Genomic DNA, 21,058 nt, shown 5'->3' on the forward strand with positions numbered 1-21,058 from the left:
TTTTCTCCCACTATCTTTTCCTTTTCCATTTTTGTTATGGTAACTTTTGATGAGCAAAAGTTTGTAATTCCAACTCATCACTTTTTTCCTTTCTGTTTAGTGCTATTTATGCCCTAAGAAATCTTTGCCTAACACAAATTTGTGAAGATATCCTCTTGCATTTTCTTCTAGCTTTATAGTTTTAATTTCACGTTTGGGTCTATAATTTATCTCTAAGTATTTTGTGGGTTTTGGTGTTGTCGTATAGAATTGTGTTATTCATTCCATTTTCCAATTGCTTGCTGCTGATTTATAAAAATACACTTTTTATATTGACCTTGTATCCTGCAGCCTTTCTAAATTCATTTATTAGTTCTAGTAGTTGTTTTGTAGATTCCTGAAGATTTTCTATGTAAAAAAATGATGTCTGTGAGAAAGAGGTGGTTGTACTTTCTTTCCAAGCTTTGTAGCTTTTATTAGGTTAGCGCAAAGTAATTGTGGTTTTTGCTAATATTTCTTTTTCTTGCCTCATTAGAACAGGTACGACCTCCAGTACAATATAGAATAGAAGTAGTAAGAAAGGATATCCATGCTTTGCTCTCAGTCACGGGGGAAGGCTTTTAATATTTCAGTGTTCAATATGATGCCACTATAGGTTTTGTAGATTTTTTTTTCAGGTTAAAAAATTTCATTCTTTTTTTTTTCTGCCTGAAGACAGGATCTCACTCTGTCACCCATGCTTACAAGCAGTCCACCTGACTCAGCTTCCCAAGTAGCTAAGACTACAGGCACGCACACCACCATGCCTGGAAAACTTTTGTTTGTTTGTAGGGACAGGATATTGCTATGTTGCCTAAACTGGTCTCTAACTCCTGGCGTCAAGTGATCTTCCTGCCTTTAGCCTCACAAAGTACTAGATAATATGGTTAGGCTTTGTGTCCCCACCCAAATCTCATATTGAATTGCAATCCCCAGGTGTTGAGGGAGAGACCTGGTGGGAGGTGGTTGGAGCTTGAGGATGTTTCCCCCCCATGCTGTTCTCATGATAGTGAGTGAGTTCTCATGAGATCTGATGGTTTTATAAGTGTTCGGTAGTTCTTCTCTTGCTCACTCTTCTCATCTGCCACCATGTACGACGTGCCTGCTTCCCCTTCCACCATGATTGTAAGTTTCCTGAGGCCTCCCCAGCCATGCGGAACTGAGTCAATTAAATCTCCTTCCTTTATAAATTACCCAATCTCAGGTATTCCTTTATAGCAGTGTGAAAGCAGACTAATACACTAGGATGATAGGCATAAGCCATTGCACCTGACCTCTTTGTATTCTTTATTTGCTGAATCAGGAATATTTGAACTATTTCTGAACTTTTCTGAATTTATTAAGAGGACTATATCATTTTCCTCCTTTATTATGTTAATACGTGAAATACATTAATTGATTTTTGGATTAAACAATCTTGTACTCCTGGGATAAACCCCACTTGGTCATGATGTACTAACATTTTTATATATTGCTGTATTCAACATAATATTTCATTAAGGATTTTTGTGTCTATGATCATAAGGAATATTGATGAATTTTCTTTGCTTGAAATATTTTTCTCAGATTTTGGTATCTGGATAATGTCTGCCTCATAAAATGGGCTCCTCAATTTTCTGAATTTACCTAACTTTAATATTATTACTTGTTTGTGATATTCACCAAAGAAACCATATGGACCTGGAGTTTTCTTCATGGGGGTAAAGTTTTTTTGCCACAAATTCAAATTTTTAGATATAAGGCTATTCATTTTTTCTATTCCATCTTGCATTAGCTTAATCTGAGAACATGTCTAATTTATTGAATTTTTTCGTATAAAATTTTCATAATATTCCCTTATTATTTTTTTTTAATTGAGATGGAGTTTCACTCGTTGCCCAGGCTGTACAGTGGTGCAATCTCAGCTCACTGCAACCTCTGCCTCCCAGGTTCAAGTGATTCTCCTGCCTCAGCCTCCTGAGTAGTTGGGATTACAGGCGTGCACTACCAGGCCCAGCTAATTTTGTATTTTTAGTAGAGATGGGGTTTCACCATGTTGGTCAGGCTGGTTTTGAACTCCTGACCTCAAGTGATCCACCCACCTCTGCCTCCAAAGTGCATGAGCCACTGTGCCCAGCCTCTCTTATTATTCTTTTAATGTTAGTATGATCTATAGTCATATAACTTTCATTCCCAATTTTGGTCATTTCTGTTTTCTCTTTCCTTATCAGTTTTGTTGGGGGTTCATCAAGTTTATTGTACTTTCCAAAGAACAAACTTTAGACTTTTTAAATTTTCTCTATTGTCTCTATTTGGCTGCTTTCTGTCCTTATCTTTACTTATTTTGGGTTCGGTTTGGTCTTCTTTTTCTAATTTCTTAAGGAAGTTTAGAGACAGAGCAAGATTTGTGTGTGAAGCATCCCAAATTCAAGCTTCATTATCACTTTCACTGGAAGTCTTGGAGACTACCTCCAGGTTGTAGACACACACAAACATACACACACACACACACACATACAGATTTGCCTGAGCTCAGGAGCAAATGTTCATCTTTCCCACGTTGACTGTTTCTGCTGCATATTGCAGCACATTGTACAAGACCCAGGGCCAAAGTTCTGAAGGACCAGGTTCACTGCTTTGAACATGTCTAGAAAGTCCACTAGTGCGTCATCATGGCTCAGACTAAACATGAGTCTGAACTTTCAGGCAAAGATAAGGTCCTAAAGTTTAAATCTCTTTCACATTTCTAAAGACTTTCCTAGGAAACCAGCAGGGAGAGTGTTGTCTCTGCATCACTGTCCACATAAATTTGAGCTCTTTAGATATAAAGGTTACTTATTCTGGACCATGGACCATGGATACCTACAGCTATAATTTTTTAGGTTTTAGCACCCTGATCAACAAGTGCTGTCAACCAATCTGAGATAATTAAAAATTCTAAAATTTGAGTTGGTGGGAGAAAAGGTGTATGGGCAGGTTGGGATAAGAGGAAAATAAGGGAAGAAGACTACTACAGTTTCAAACACAACTGATGATTTCAAACACAACTGATGATGTAAGCAAAGGGTTCAAAAATTGGAAAATAAGAGCTACTCGAAAGGCTGAGGCAGAAGGACTACCTGAGCCCAGTACTTCAAGGACAACCTGGGAAACATAGTGAGGACCCATCTTTAAAAAAAAAAACTAAAAATAAACTGGAGAATTAAAGAATTAGGTCTGTTGCCCTCCTAGTTGGAAGTCTGTAGAAGCCAATGATTTCCAAGGAGACTTTAAGCCTAGAAAGTAAGTCAAGCAATTAACTTAGGTTTTCTGGACATCTTCTATTTCCCTCAGATTTTCTCCGCATCTCTTTTCAGCAGTATGTCTTCTACAATTTATTAATTTCCATTATGGCCTTAAATCTGTGGAAACTTTTCCATTGTGAAGTCATGAAAATTGGAAAAGAATCTGGAGGAATAACATACCATGAGACAGACCTGCCTCCAAACCAGACATCTCTTTCAGTATTTGTGAGGCCTCCCTTCAGTTTCTTTACTACTCAGAGCTTCACCAGGACAATCAAACAAACATAGAGGTTGTGGGAGCTCTAATGCAGCAATGAAGGTGAAGGTGAAGCCTGCTTGCTAAGAACAATCTGCTGTCATAAGACATTTAAAGAAAGGTAATATTTTTGGACATTTTTCTGTAACTGAAAAGATATTAAATATACAATGCATCTTGTCTTTTATCCTTTCAAAACTATTTACTGAATGTCCACTATGTACCAGGCATTGTGTGAGGGATAAAAAGATTAAATGGTAAGCAAAGAAACAGAGAAAAGAAAGCTTAAAGGCAGTTGTGAATGGAAAAGGTGGGAATGGAGGAGAAAACCTGAATTGTTAGTGAGTTCCTTTATTACCAAAGACTGCATGTTCTTAGACCCTTGAATCAGGAAAAAAAAAAAAAAAAAAAAAAACAAGTAGCTATGCTGGATCTCTGCTGACATGAATGGCAGGGAGTGGGTGTGTGTGTGTGTGTGTGTGTGTGTGTGTGGTAGGTTTTGGAGAAGATGAGAGAGCATAAGGAGAATACCTCAATTTCTGCCCAATAGAAGTGGGAGGATGGAATCACTGATGTTCCAGAAGCTAAGAAAGGAAAAATGTAAATTATTTTCTTTACGCATGTGGTTTGCACAACATCCTCCAACATAAGACTCCCACTTGGGTCCTAAAGTTGGAAAAATCTGGGGAGTATAAAGAAGGGGAACAGAGCAACAAGACTTGACACAGTATGCCAGATGTCAGCACTAGCAGACTGACTTCCAAAGGGGGAGCTTTTTCAGATATTCTCCAGGTGCATCGGTCATGTGCCTTACAAACCTGGCTGGAATTAATGACCTTTGTGTAAATTACAGAGATATATTTCTCACATAATTCCCCGTGTGCAGCAGGGTAGCAAGGAAAGAGTTCTTTAAGTGGGGATAATCTGAAGAGCCCTTAAGAACTCCCTACTCCAAATAGTATTTCCCATGTTGACTGAAATTCTTCATTTTGTTTCACTGCTTCAGAACTGATCGATCTGTGATCATCTCACCATAACTGCAGAGGCAGTTATAGCATAGTATAGTAATTAGAGCGTGAATTCTGAAATCAGATTGCCTTGTTCACCCTGGACTTCACCACAAATTGTTCATGTGTCTTAATAATTACTAAGAATTACATTGACGGCCGGGCGCGGTGGCTCACGCCTGTAATCCCAGCACTTTGGGAGGCCGAGGCGGGTGGATCATGAGGTCAGGAGATCGAGACCATCCTGGCTAACAAGGTGAAACCCCGTCTCTACTAAAAATACAAAAAAAATTAGCCGGGCGCGGTGGCGGGCGCCTGTAGTCCCAGCTACTCGGGAGGCTGAGGCAGGAGAATGGCGTGAACCCGGGAAGCGGAGCTTGCAGTGAGCCAAGATTGCGCCACTGCAGTCCGCAGTCCCGCCTGGGCGACAGAGCGAGACTCCGTCTCAAAAAAAAAAAAAAAAAAAAAAGAATTACATTGACTGAGCATGTAATCATGTAGCAAGGATGGGGTCAAGCACTTTTCATGCATTAACATGTTATCGTCAGTCCTCTCAACTCCCTTTGAGGTAGGTATCATTACTATCATTATCATTTTATGGATGAGGGAATTGAGGCACATATCTAACTTTCAGATCCAAAACTAGGAAATGGGGAAAGTGAAATTCAAATCTAAGCAGACTTAACTACTACACCACAGTCCCCTCATTTAAACCTTCTAAGCCACAATACCTACCTCATAGAATTGTTTAATTATGTTTAAGATAATGCTTATAGATTTGATGGAGTGAAAAAAGTGTGCAATATGATTACTGTTATTTCATATAAATGAATTCTTTTAAATATTGGAGGAGTACCCAGAAAATCCAATTCAACTTTATTAGGTGCTAAGGTGATATAGTGATAAGACTTGATTCCTGCCCTCAAGAAGCTCATAGAATTCAAGGCTTGATTACATTGCTCCACTTCACAAAATCCTAACAGTTCTACATTGCTTTCAGAAAGCTTACATCCCTAGGTTGGCACAAATGGCCCAACAAGGGGGAGGGGGGAGGGATAACATTAGGAGATATACCTAATGCTAAATGACAAGTTAATGGGTGCAGCACACCAGCATGGCACATGTATATATATGTAACTAACCTGCACATTGTGCACATGTACCCTAAAACTTAAAGTATAATAATAATAAAAAAAAAAGAAAAAAAAAATGGCCCAACACAATTGCAAGTTTTCTTACTCTCTGGCTGCATCTCCTGCCACTTCCTTGTTCACGGTCCAGCTTGAGACTTAACCATTCTTCAGACATGCCATATATTTCATATCTCCATGTCCTATGTGCTGTTCCATCAATCTGAAAAACTCCCTTCCCTACCTCCATTTCCCCACCTTCAGTATTCAACTCAACTCTTTCTGGAATTCCTCACCTCCTTCTAGATTAGCTGTTCCTTCTCCGTGTTCCCAAAGAATCCTCTGCACACATATTGCACTTATTACATTATACTGAAACTGCTTATCTGCCTCCTCCATTACTCTGTGAGTTGCTCAAGGGCAGACTGTCCTAGTGGTCTCATCCTAGCTCCCAGAACAACATAGGTACAGTAGACACTCAATGAATGTGTAGAACAGATGAACAAACTGTAATTAGTGCTCTAATAGAGTATACGGTTTTGTTTTGTTTTTTTGTAGAGGCAGTGTCTTGCTGTTGCCTAGACTGGAGTGCAGTGGTGCAATCATGGCTCACTGCAGCCTCAAACTCCTGGGCTCAAGCGATCCTCCCACCTCAGCCTCCTGAATAGCTGGGACTACAGGCACACCACCAACATAACTGGCTAATTTACTAACTTTTCTTTTTGTAGAGACAGGGTCTCACTTTGTTGCCCAGGCTGGTTTTAAACTCCTAGCCTCAAGCTATCCTCTTGCCTCGGCCTCTCAAAGTGCTGGGATTACAGGCATGGGCCAACACGCCCGGCAAGTATAATTTAATGGAAGAATGAGAAGAGAAAAAAATTGAATGTCTATGATGACTTGACAAAGGTGGTATCTGAATTGGTTCTTTATAGTAAGATAGTTGTTTTCTAGAGAAACAGAAACAATAAGAGAGAGATCGAGATAGACAGAGATATAGATTGATGGTGAGGAACTGGCTTACATGACTATGGAAGTTAAGGAGTCCCGTGATCTGCCGCCTGCAAGCTGGAGACCCAGGAAAGGTGGTGATGGTGTAATTTGTCTGAGTCCAAAGGCATAAGAACCAGAACTGATAGCGTAAATTCTAGTTCAACTTCAAAAGCCTCAGAACTGAAGGGCAGAAGGCATATGTCCCAATCCAAAGGCAGGAGAAGACCCATGGGCAGGAGAACACTCAAGCAGTCAGGCAGAAACGGAGAATTCTTCTTTTCTGCATCTTTTTGTTCTATTCAGGCCCTCAACCGATTGGCTAATGCCCATCCACATTGGGGACAGCAATGTGCTTTACTCCATCTACCGATTCAAACCTCTTCTGGAAACACCCTCACAGACACACATAGGAATAATGTTTAACCAGGTATCTGGGCATCCTGTGGCCCAGGCAAGTTGACACGTAAAATTTATGATGACAGTCTGGGTGTGGTGGCTCATGCCTGTAATCCCAGCACTATGGGAGGCCGACGTGGGCAGATCACGAGGTCAAGAGTTCGAGACCAGCCTGGCCCAATATGGTGAAACCCCATCTCTACTAAAATCACAAAAATGAGCCGGGGTGGTGGCAGGTGCCTGTAATCCCAGCTACTTGGGAGGCTCAGGCAGGAGAATTGCTTGAACTCAGGAGGCAGAGGTTGCAGTGGGCTGAGATCATGCCACTGCACTCCAGCTTGGGCAACAGAGCAAGACTCTATCTCAAAAAAAAAAAAAATTACCATCACAGAATTTGGATCATTGGATACATGCAGAGGACCTCCAATAAAAAAGGACCTCCAAATAAAAAAGTACATGGAAAAAACTCCTGGGGCATAACCAGACCCCTGTGACTAGAGCACAGGGAAGAAACATGAATGATAAGGACATAGTACCAATAAAATGGAAGTGCAGAGAATCTATTCTCAGGCAATTTCCAATTAAAAATCTTACTGCTGCAAATAATTTGTTCAGCTCCCAATTCTTTTATTTGTATTTCTTCTCATTTATTCATAACTGACCCCTGATAAACTATAGCAAAAATACAACCATGTGTGTACAAGAAGGGGTCACAGCAAAAGGATAGAAATAGAGAAAGGAAAATAGTAGAGAAAGAAAAATAGAAGGAAACTATTCTAAATTATGACACCAAGCAGATAGGAGTGTATTCACCTGTATAAGAGCAGAGACCATGTCATCAGCAGGTTGATTATTCTTTTTAAATTTTTCATTTCTGACTACATATATAACAGACCCATGCTAACTAAGGATGCAGAGACAGATCCCTGGAGGCAACCAGTATCATTTTAGAAAGGAAACCTTTGGCCCAATGGGACTTCGAACTGCACCTAATAAGCCAATGGCATTGCTAACAAGTCAGTGATATTTGGGGTATAGTACTGAATAGAGGCTACATAACACAAGGGCGAAAAGTACACAACTACTTCAGTCCTTGTGCCAGGCACGGTAGCTCACACCTGTAATCCCAGCACTTACGGAGGCAGAGGCACGAGGATAGCTTGAGTCCAGGAGTTCAAGACCTGCCTGAGCAACATAGTGAGGCCCTGTTCTCCAGAAAAAGGGGGGAAAAAAAAAAGATTAAAAAAATAGTAAGTTGGAACTCATTGTGCTCCCTGGTTAAAGTGCCAATTCAGTATTTACTGCACACCTGTTATAGGAAAGACACTATTTTCGGCACAGAGAGGGATACCTGGAGAAATTTGGTATGATCCAGGTCCACTAAGAATGCACAAAGTAGATGAGCCAAATGTGTACACGATAATGCAATTTAGAGTGTTGTGAGTATGTTTAAAACGCAGCATGGAAGGAAAAATAAGTCATCCATTAATCTTAATAAGAGAAATGGAGGAAGTTTCATGGCAAAGCCAGAAAGGACTCCTAAGAAAAGTTTTCATTGTGTTTCTTCATTTTATAATTGTTTTAACTATAAAGGTAATACGTGTTTACTATAGAAAATCCAAAAATACAAATAAGCAAAAAAAAAGAACACAAACCACTGCATTTCTGTATATCCCATTTCTTTATTTATTTATAAAAGTGAGAACATATTGTACATAATTTTCAGTAAGCTTGTTTTTAGGCAATAATATATTACAGCCATCTTTCCATGTTATTTATTATACTTCTACAACTGACTTTTATATTTAAATAGGTGCACATCAAAAGGTATAAAAGAGGACACAGTAAAAGCCTGACTCTCTCATCCCATGACCCATGACCTTATAATTTTAACCAGAAGCAGCCACTGTTACATTTTTTGTGATCCTTCCAGTTTCTTGTGATCCCTCCATAAATATTCTATGAATATATGAGCATACATGTATATATTTCTCTTTTTAAGTAAATGGTAGCTGTGAACACACGGTTCTGTACCTTGCATTTCTCTCCCCAGTCAGTACATATATCACTGCCTCTCAGTGGCTGCAGTGTTTCAATGTATGGATAAACAATAATTTACTCAGTCCCCTTTGATGGACATTCAGAATGTTTCCAACTCAGTCCCCTTTGATGGACATTCAGAATGCTTCCAATCTTTTACTATTACAATATTACTAGGTATATCCTCCAAGTGTAAACATGTATATATTTGTGGGTATATCTGTAGGAAAAATTGCTGGAAGTGGAATTTTGAGGTCAAAGAACATGTATGTTTTAAAATTTGACAGATATCACACAGTGTCCTCCACTAAGGCATTCCTAATTTCTACTCCTTCCAACTACAAATGAGACTGTTACCACACCTGTGGTTCCCCAGCCAGATAATGTTTTCCATTTCCCTCCCCTGGAACACACATCTTGCAGACAGGTGAGGTAACGCATCTAGTTCCGGCCAATGGAATGTGGGAATGTGAACAGAACTGATGTGTGTCGTATCCAGGCCAAGGTAACTGAGAAGAAAGTATGCATTCTCCACCCTATCTCTGCAATTCTGTCCACTGGAAACAGAAGAATTCAAGGCCCTAGGGAATGGTGGATCCCTATAATGGAAGGAGCCTATGTCCCTGAGTTACCATACAGAAAAAAACAACTGTCTGCCAACCAGAAACATCCGCAGTGGACTATTACATGAGGGAAAAATAAATTTATATTTTATTAAGCCACTGAAAAGTTGGTATTTGTTGTAACATCTCGCTTTACCCTAACTAATACACCAAGATACCCTTTTTTATATAAACATCAGATCTACAGTTCTGAAGATACTCTTAGGGAATGTTGCTCAAGTATTTCAAAATTAACTTTCAAAGTTAACTATGATATTGGCTGTACTGTTAAGAAAATAGCCTTCATTTCCTGGATTAACAAGAGCTGTTTTTTGTTTCTTTGGTTTTTATCAAGAATGAGTAGTGATTTATCAAATACCTTTGCAGTATTTGTGAAAATGATTCTAAGTTTTTTTCCTTTGATCTATTAGAGTGATATCTTACATTAGTATTTCCTAATGTTGAAATAGTCTCACATTTCTAAAATAAACCATGTTTACTTGTATATTTTATTTTGTATATGCTGTTGAATGCAAGGGAATAACTGAAACAAAATAATAGATTGGGTAATTCTTTAAACATGATTTATAAATTTTAAATTTCAATTGAGGAAGTAAAAAGTACAGGAGACCCTCCAAAGAACAAATCTGTTATCTGGAAAAGCAGGTGAATGTGTATCACATTATCTGGAGCAAAAAAAAAAGAAATGGAATTCTTGAATAAAAAGATGAGAGAACTAACCAGCAGGTCCAGGAGGTCTAATTGGAAATAAAAGGCATTCAGAGAGAGAACAAGGACCATAATGGAAAAAGTAATAATCAAAACATAATACAAGAAAACTTCCCTCAGGAGGAGACTAGAATTATGAAATCAAAAGGGCTCATTGAGTACCAGACAGGATAAATGAAAAAGGGCATATACCTATATATATATCCTAGTCAGATTTCTAATTTCTGAGCTTCAAAATAAAGAAAACAGAAAAGCTTTTAGAAAGTAAGAACGAGTTACTTATAAACAAATGAGCTTGAGGCTGTCATTGGACATGGTTAAGAACACGGGCACTGAATGAAGTAAGGCTACCTGGGTTCAAATTTTGGTGTGAACTTAGGTTGGGTTGCTTAACTTCTTTATGCTTCTGTAAAATAGGGACAATGTTAGTACTTAGCTTCTCAGGTTGGCTGGAAGCAACATCTGATATAATACATGGAAGAGCCTAGCACACACAGTCAGTATACTTCTATCTGTTAACATCTAAAGCTGTATGAGTGAGTCAAAATTTTACACATTTTTGAGAAGATAAAAGCCCGAACCCTCCTCAGAACATAGCATACAGCACTAATAGTCTGAAGAACTGCACAACAGCCCCACTCTAACATCTCTAATGGTAGCTGAGCCCCATGCTAGTGAGAAGTGAGGTGGTGGGCAGAAGGAATCTCACTGACTTATTTCAATTAATGTGAGCAGGGCAAGAACAACTTTTTTTTGGCCTGGAGCTGAAGATTATTGGAGATGAAAAAAGTTGTAGGCTCTGTCAGCATAAAAGGACACAGAGTGAAGTCTCTTAAAGTCAGCAGGGACAATTCTACAATTAATAGACCTTATTACCAATGGGGACCCTCCATAAAGTAAATTGTAATGAGACTTGTGGCTGCCAGATTTGGGTATCATAAGAAGTTCTTTCATTCATACAGCTAATGTTGTCTGAGCACATCTACCACGTGTCCGGAACTACACTGGGGATCTAGCTGTATACAAGGCATGCCAAGTCCCTCCCTCAAAGAGTTTACATACATAGATCACCTTAATTAATATGACTCAAATTAGAATGCCCATATGACATAAGAAATGAATCATACTAAAACCATTAACAAAATCTTTGTCTCTCTCTCATACACACACCCCCCCTTTTATCTCAATTACACAAGAAATGAAAAAGTCAACTTGTAATACTGTTAATAAAAAAAGTGAGCTGCTACTTAATTTAGTCCCGTTTTTTATAGTTTGCAAATGTAAAAGCTAGCACAACAATTTGGTGGAACTCTTGAGTAATCACCTCAATTCTTTCTGCCAAAGCAGTCAGTGACTGCCTTTTGGAGAAAATATCATATTTTTCACTTTATACTGATTTACTCCTTCTCCAATTTGTGTTCAAGATATTTGACCTCTGAAAGTTTAACAAGCACTTACTAAACAGCACCAACCAGAAATATTTTTAAAGTTCCTTTCTACCTACTAGCCAAAAATTCCCTAGCCCACTTGCCCATCTTCAAACAGAAGCATATCTCTTCAATCCAAAAGGAAGATACAGCATTAAACAGCATATAATGAATTTAGTGGGTTAAATGGTGGCTCCTGAAAAGACACATCCATATCCCAATCCCCAGACCCTGTGAATATTACTTTATTTGAAGAAAAGGTCTTTGCAGATGTAATTAAAAATTTTCAGGTGAGATCATCTTGGATTATCCAGGTGTACCCTAAATCCAGTGACAAGTAGATTCTCTTAAAGTCAGTCCTTAGAAGAAAAAGGCAGAGAGAGAGATTTGAGACACACAGAAGAGAAGACACAGAACAGAAAAGAAGGCTATAATGACCACAGAGGCAGAGACTGGAGTGAGGCAGCCACAAGTCAAGGAATGCCCCATACACAACAGAAACTGGAAGAGGCAAGGAACAGATTTCTCCCCCAAAGAGCCTCCAGAGGGAATGTGGCTCAGCCAACACCTTGATTTTGGACTTCTGGCCTCCAAAAGAGTTAAAGAATAAATTTCTATTGCTTTAAGCGACCTAGTTTGTAGTAATTTGTTACAGCAACCACAAAAAAGCAACACAGTGAGCAAAAGCATTTTGGTAGGGAGCCCTGGGTTCAAGTCCCACTCCTGTCATTTAGTCCCTATTTGCTTCAGTAAGTCTGTTAGCCTCTCAGAACCTCCAAACCTGTACTACTATTACCCTGAGTTCTTATAAGAATCAAAGGAGATCTTGTATATGAAAACATTCAGAGTATTATAAAGTCCCATACAAATATGAATTATTATTCTTATACTTTACCTGGAATTTCAAATGAGTTTGGAGCCTGGGCTCTTTAATCAAGTCCTTTTGTTACAACTCTTTACACAAATAATACCTGCCTAATTTCAGCAGTGCCAACATTGTATCAGTTATTATTATTTTAGAGATGGGGTCTTGCTCTGTCCCCCAGGCTAGAGTACAGTGGGGCAATCATATCTCACTGCAGCCTCAAACTCCTGGGCTCCAGCGATCCTCCTGGCTCAGCCTTCTAAGTAGCTGGGAATACAGGCACTCACCACCACATTGGGCTTGCTATTTATGTATTTATTTATGAGTGAATGAGAGGGGGGTCTCACTATGTTGCCCAGGCTGGTCTGGAACTCTTGGCCTCAAGCAATCCTCCCACCTCAGACTCCCAAGTCTCTGGGATTACAAGTGTGAGTCACCACAGGCCCCATATCAATTCTTAACATCAACTTTTATTTATAGAATTAAGCTGTCACTAATGTACACAGTATCTCTTTAGTACTAGGATTTAATGAAGTCTCATTACCACTAACCTTATCATCTATTTTACTTCCCTCCAGATATCCTCTATTATCACATCAATTTAGTAGCGAGATCATCTAATTGGTTTATTGGCCCCATTTACATTAACAAATCAGTTTTAACCAGTTTACTTTCAATAATATTTGTGAACTCCTTAACATAATCATATATTATTTCTCTAAACTAACCTTAATTATTCCATACTGAATTCTTCTCAGCCAAGAATGAACCATTAATAACTCTTCTTCCTATTTCTGGTTTTCCCCAACAGGTAGATTCTGATCTACTGCCAGACCTAGTTCTTCTTTCCTGAAATAAAGTATATTTATGAAGTACAATAATAAATTAAGGCTATCAGCTCCACAAGTTATGCACAAAAATTAATTTCGTAACTCTATAATCTCACTTCATCCACACACGAGTTTATATTTTCTATGGAATTTTTCCATTACTATTTCATAAGAAAGGCCACCAAACATACTCCAAGTTATGGAATGGCTGGTCAACTGCAAGCTTCAATTTTTTTCCTTCAGGGCAAGGAAGTTTGACATTAAAAATAAGGAAATGGCATATTGATAATGCAGTCTGATATAAGAATTTATTTTCTTATGCCTTTTAACCATTGAATTTGAATGGCATTCCAGTCTTAACTTAGATCTAACAGAGTATTATAAAAATATTATTCTCTGAAATTTTGCCTCTTCAGAAATCTTTAAACAAATGTAAAATAATCTTTCCCAAACAGAAGTTGAAACAGTAAAAACTTCAATGGACTTTGAGATTTGCAAATGTAACAATCACTTACAATCATTATCACTAACGATTTATATCCTTAAGATGAAACATCCTTCAAGAATGCATTAGGTGCACCAGGTGCAGTGGCTAATGCCTGTAATCCCAACACTTTGAGAGGCCAAGGTAGGAGAATCCCTTGAGCCCAGTTCACGACCAGCCTGGGCAACACAGGGAGACCTCATCTCTACAAAAAATGAATAAAATTAGCCTGGTGTGGTGGTGCACACCTGTAGTCCCAGCTACTCAGGAGGCTGAAGTGGGAGGACTGCTTGAGCCCAGGAGGTCAAGGCTGCAGTGAACCGAAACTGCACCATGGCACTCCAACCTGGGCAATAGAGTGAGGCCTTGCCTCAAAAAAAAAAAAAAAAAAAAAAAAAAAAAGCATTAGGTGCTCCTCCTGAGTCACTAAAGTATGGGTGATGTTATTTTAATATACTTAACTTCACTGCCTTTCCATAGGTAGCAATTAAATCATTCCCAAGATGCAAGTTAAACATTTGGTTCTCAGGATCACCAGTAAAAATTTCAAATCAAAACTTAGGAAATCCACAGCCACTATTTTGTACAAACATAGATTAATACTACTCTATGGCATAACCCACAACTTTAAATATTTATCCCCCTGTGAATGGGATTATAAAGGTACCTACTATATCATCTCAGACCCAATAAGAAGTTTAGCAACAAATGTCTCCTAATTTTCATGATCTCCATGTGGCCTATATAAAAGTAAACTGTGAACCTCTTCCAACAACAGTAGCCTCTACATTTTTTAACCAATTTCACATGAGACTGACAAGATACTAGTTATCCTGAGAAATGTGTTAAGTTTCCTGACAAATAAAGCCTGAACTAAGATCTCCCTTAAGTAGTCTAACTCTACAACCTCAGAATTCTTAAGAAACAAAAAATATCCTAAGAAGTTATCCATTCCCCTCATCCATCTTAGCAACCAAGTGGAGAATCTGGCCCCTCGCCACTAGAGGGGGGTGTTTCTTTTATTGGTTTCTCTTTCCCCCTAATTCGGCTGACCAGAATTTCTGGTTGAACTAGAAATAAGCCTCAAGATCAACATCCTGACCTTTATTTTTAATATCGTGTGGCCTTTTTTCTTTTTTTCAGGCCTAGTTAACACTAAAATATAAATTTCAATCCCTAATTACTTGTACTATTATGCCCCACATCATACTCCGTTGCCTTTCTACAAAGAGACTAACAAACTACACAATTTAGAGACTTTGACATTAGTTCACTGAAAATAAACAGAAAATCCAACCAAGTTTGAGTGTTTTTTTAAAAAAACCTTCTCATTTGCCAGGTTCATTATTTCATTTGAATCACTATAATACTATTTTAAAAATTAGACAGACAATAGCAACAAACTTTAAGGAAAAAATATACTTAAGAGACTTGCCCAAAATTTCAGGTAGCAAATGGCTAGGCCATAATGAAGACTCAAATGCTCTGACTCCTAGACCATTTCCAGTTCTATTATTCTATGCCATGAGTGAAAGGTACTAGATGAGAAGACCAAGGGGTGAACTACTCTTACTTTTTACTCTACCAGTCTAGAGCAAATAGATGTATGATTACTCATGTAACTCACTATTGCTCCTGGCAAATAACATATACCCATCTGCTTAGAATAGTCTCCACTGGCCACAAAATCAAGTCACAAGATGAGGAAGGAGTGGATGAAGGAGATAAGGGGAAAGAGTTGCAGAAGAGAAGAAAATAAATCTATCAAACAATCTTGAGGTCAGGCATGAGACACAAAATATACAAAAGTGAGGACCAAGATCTAAGCAAGAAATCAGAATCAGAATCAGAAAAAGAAGGAATGAACAACAAATGGTAGCAGTCACACCACCAGATATTCAAACAACCCAAAAGACTCTGGAAGAGACAATGAGTGCTGTTTGATTCCTTGCTGCTTCCTATGAAGATCCCTGGTCTAAGGCAGAGCCCCTTAGAAAAGATAGAGACAAGACCTGGCCAGTTAGAATCTGCATCCACTTTATGAAGGCAGAAGACATGGGGAGGGAAGAGCCCCAGCAAAAAGAAACCTATCCAAATAATATCAAATCCACCTGACGTGAATCTGCTTGGGACAAAGTAGGTATCACATCAGGATGTTTCTGGCTGCAAATGACAAATTCGCAGATCATGCCTACTTACACAATGAGGAACTGTATTATCTCACAGAACTGGAAGTTCAGAGGTAAGGCAGACCAAGTACAATACAATCAGCAATTCAGGAAGGTCATCAAGGGCTCAGGTTTCTTCCATCTGTTCTGTCATCATCTAGATCAGCTGCACCCCCCAAAGCTAGTTTCCCTCATGGTCCCAAGATGGATAGAGCAGTTCTAGCCACTATACTCAAACATAAAATCACAGGGAGATGAGGCATCATCTCTTTCTTTTCTCTCTGTTTAGAATCAATAAATCCTTTCCCAGAAGCACTCAAGCCGTCTGTAGACTTTTCCTTCATCTCTCATTGGCCAGAATAGGTTACAGGCCATTCCTAACTCTTCACCGGCAAGGGAAATGGGATTAACCATGACTGCTTAGACAAATCACCTGCGGTGGGATGAATACTGGGGAGTCAATCACCATGACCATACCATGGGCAATTTATACTGATGAGTATTATTATGACATTGTTTTCACTCCATAACAAATCTATAATGTGATTATGCTGCTTCAATGATCTTAACTACAAGGCATGTGCTTTGCCTGAAATCCAGATAATTACTCTTTGCTCACATCCCATATTTTTCAACATGAACTTATTTATCAGATAGAAAACATTTTATTAAAACTTTCCCAGTCAGGCCAGGCATGGTGGCTCACACCTATAACCCCAGCACTTTGGGAGGCCAAGGTAGGAGGATCCCTTGAGCCCAGGAGTTTGAGACCAGCCTGGACAACATAGGGAAACCCCTGTCTCTACAATTAAAAAAAATTAGCCCGGTGTGGTGGCATATACCTGTAGTCCCAGCTACCTGAAGCCAGTAGGATCGCTTGAGCCGGGAGGTCAAGGATGCAATGAGCCATGGTCTTGCCACTGCTCTCCAGCCTGAACAACAGATCAAGACTTTGTCTCAAAGAAAAACAAACAAACAAAAACTTTCTTGGTCAATCCACTGTAAAAAAAAAAAAACAAAAAACAATAACTTTAATGTAACATCTTAGAAGCAAGAGTAGTAACTCATTTGTCTCCCACAGCAACTACAGTGGATACAGCCACCTAGAACCCAACCTTGAGAAAGACTTAAAGCTGAGTCTGGATCTAGTGAGAAATAGTGCCATGACTGATTAGTGAGTCTATCATGACTCAGGTTCAGGCACAACACATAGCACATATTTGCCAACCCTGTTTTAGAGAAAATCTCCTAATTTCCCTCCACTGATAATGGAGTTCTCTGCTGCAATGCCTCTTTATTCTTATTTTAATGGAGACCCAATATAATCCCTCCCATCTCTTCACTCTATCTGATTTGCATACATATACATATAACATATATCAAGCATGAACTCCAAAAAAATTTTTATATATAACCAGAGAGTTCCACAGGAATTCTGGAACCAGGCCTCTTTAGTAACCATAGAAAGGCTTGGCAGAATGGTTTCATTTACAAAGTGTCTCACTTAAAGCAGGCAGGGGGGCCTTGAGAGCCCAGGCTGGATGCAGGCCTAGGCAGGATTGAGGGACAGAAGGGAAAAGAGAAAGGCAATCTATTCCCAGCTAAAGGTAGCCTGGCCCACAGTTGCACAAAGGAACCAAAATCTGATTCTCAACAAAAGTGACTAACCAATAACTGGAGAATGCTTAAATAAATTATGGCAAATTACAAACTATAGGTAGAGTTTATGTGTATAAAATGCACTTAGAAGGATAGGGAAGGACAACAGTGGTTATTCCTGGGTGAATTAATTTATAGCTTTTTTCTTTTTTCCTTCTAGTCTTTATCTACATTTTTCTGAATGTCCTGTACTGCATATGCACAGCCTTTTTTATGAGGGGAAAAGAAAAATAATACAGGAAACATGTTTTTATCTTATCACTGGGTGTTTTGTTTGTTCCAATTAACCTCTTATTGCCTTTTAGTTAAGATTACTCTTGTCCAACTATTCTCCTATTACTGGGTAGCTAGGTTGCTTTAACTTTTTGAAATCACAAGCAATCAAATGCTGCCATAGCTGAAAGTTAACTTGAACTGTAAAAGAAAAATACTGGAAAAGTCCCTAGAAAATGGACCAAAAGTATCTAATCATTTTACACTGAAATTACCACTACTCAAAAACTATTAACAGGATATTCATTTTGACCAACTCATTGTTTTGACGAAATCATTGTTTCAATTAATAGCTGATTACAACAAATCAGTTAACCAACTTGCTTTCAGCTAAATTGTACTTGACCACATTGCTTTTGGCCAAAATAACTTTTAAGTCAAATTGGTACTGGACAAAGAGGGTACTACCAGCATCAGGCGGCAAGTCTGAAGGCAGAGATAAGAAACAGGATCAAAAGGTAAGCCTCAATAATAAAGAATAGGCAAGATGGCCTGGACAAGTTTAGAAAGGAAATATAGCCTAGGGCAATGGTTCAAAGTGGAAGGAAGTCTTTTATCAGGTAGCTATAAAACTAGCCCACATAGCTTAGAGAATGCTAGTAAGGAAAGGTATCAAATAAATTCAGTTTCATCTGCCTGCTTGGACACTCTCACCTAGAAGAACAAAGCTAGGGTTTTCCCTAGGTTCCACAGATGAAACAACATCTGCTTGGGGTTCAAACTGAGAAGGAATGTTTCCAAAATCATTTATCCACAGCCTCACTTTCCAAGTAAATGAGGTTCTTGAGCTGGCCATTGCATCATGGGGAATCAACACCACCTTGTTGGCATTTTATGGTTCCCATCTCAAATTACAGAAGGTAATATCCCATGCTGTCAGACAAAGCAGAGGTAGCAGATGAGAGTAATTTGCATGGAGGGAAGCAACCCAAATCGGACTGCCTCTAGAGTAAAGGACCCAGGTAGTACACCTTTAGCTTCTGGAATAACTGATCACCATGACTAGAGAGAGCCCGAAGACATCTCCAGTTTGAACAGTCTTCTAAGGAACCTGATTACAGTTAGGATTTCTTTTTAACCAGTTATTGCTCAATGAAAAATCCTGGAGAGCTTCTGAGTACCCCGTATTCATTCCAACATTAACTGACTGCCAGGCTGCGTGCGGTATTGCTGAGGAAAGCAGGGAGGCAGCAGGGAGAAAGACATCTCTGCCACTGAAGAAGGTGTTCTACAGGAAGGAAAGCAGAGAATTGTATTCATATTCAGTCACAGCAGAGTAGGTGTGAAAAAAAAAAGGAGATGAATCAGTCTTGTTTTGAGTAAGAAGCAAAACAGCGTAGAGGTAGACTATTCACAAATGGTGTTGAGACAACTGCGTAGCCATTTGGAAAAAAATAAAGTTGGACCTACCTCTCATACCATACACCAGGAAAAATGGATCAAAAATTTAAATGCAAAACAGAAACCATGAAAGTAGTAAAAGCCAACGTGAGGGAATTCTTTCATAACCTTGGAGTAGTATAGATTTTTCTAACTATGACTAAATCTAGAAGTCATAAAAGACTGACAAATTCAAGTACATTTTTTAAAAAATCTACATAGCAAAAACATCATAAGCAAAGTTGAAAGACAAATGACAAACTACGGGGAAATACGCTGCAACTCATATAACAAAGGGCAAATCTCCATATTATAAACAGCAACTACAAAGTGATTTTTAAACCACCCCCACCTCCCAAAATAGGCAAAGGATATAAGACACACTTCACCAAAAGGAAATATAAATGGCTCTTAAGCATATGAAAAAGATGTTCTAACTTACTCATGAGAGAAAGAAATTAAAGTTACACTAAGATAACATTTTCACCGACCAGACTGGAAAAAAACCTAAGGTTAAATAACACATTGTTGGCAAGAATATGAGTATTCAGGCACTTGCCTATATTTTTAGTGGAGTGTAAACTGTACAACCTCTATGGAGAGTAATTTGGTAGTACCTATCAAACTACTATGATATATATACCCTTTGGCCCAGTAATTCAATTTCTAGGAATTTACCCTACAAATGTATTTGCACAAGTATAAAATAATCTATATAACAAAAGTATTTATTGTAGCATTACTTGTAATTTGTATCCCTCAATTGCTAGGAATTTATCCTACAAATATATTTGCACAAGTATAATCTATATAACAAAAGTATTTATTGTAGCATTACTTGAAACAGCAAAAAGATTGAAAACTTCCCAAATGTCCATCAATATGGGGCTGGCTAAATAATGATATATTCACACAATGACATGAAGAGATCTCCAAGATACATTATAAATGAAATATATCTCAGATATATCTCAGATATTTTTCCACTGTTATGGACAGAACTCCAAGATACACTATTAAGTGAAAAAGGCAGAACAATACGTGTAAGCTTCCATGTGTATAAAAAAGGAAAGGGAAACAGAATTTATATTTGTAGTGTCTTGGAAATGCATTAAAAAACTCTGGAAGGATCTCGGCACTTTGGGAGACTGAGGCAGGCAGACTGCTAGAAGTCAGGAGTTTCAGACCACCCTGGCCAACATGGTAAAACCCCGTCTCTACTAAAAACACAAAAATTAGCCGAATCTGGTGGCTTGCACCTGTAGTCCCAGCTCCCAGCTACTCGGGAGGCTGAGGCGGGAGAATCTCTTGAACCCAGGAGGCAGAGGTTGCAGTAAGCTAAGATCGCACCACTGCACTCCAGCCTGAGCAACAGAGAGAGACTCTGTCTCAAAAAAAAAAAAAAAAAAAGAACAATAACAACAACTCTGGAAGGAGGGTCATTTAGTAGGGGACCGGAGTGGAAAGTAAACTTCTCATTTCTAAATGCTTTGTCATTTGAATCATGTAAATGTATTATCTTTTCAAAAATTAAATCTTAA

At 38.6% G+C, this 21,058-nt stretch overlaps 1 long non-coding RNA gene across 1 annotated transcript in view; it reads right to left on the reverse strand.

The window, feature by feature from the left end:
• LOC101928438 (uncharacterized) overlaps positions 1-21,058 on the reverse strand; it is a 234,104-nt gene that overhangs the window by 206,634 nt on the left and 6,412 nt on the right. Inside the window, exon 2 of the long non-coding RNA NR_109802.1 lies at positions 13,452-13,572. This is a non-coding gene — a long non-coding RNA (uncharacterized LOC101928438). The remainder of the gene's footprint in view (positions 1-13,451; positions 13,573-21,058) is intronic.

Source organism: Homo sapiens, chromosome 9 (genome assembly GCF_000001405.40).
Source record: "Homo sapiens chromosome 9, GRCh38.p14 Primary Assembly".
In the NCBI taxonomy this organism is placed as follows: Eukaryota; Metazoa; Chordata; class Mammalia; order Primates; family Hominidae; genus Homo; species Homo sapiens.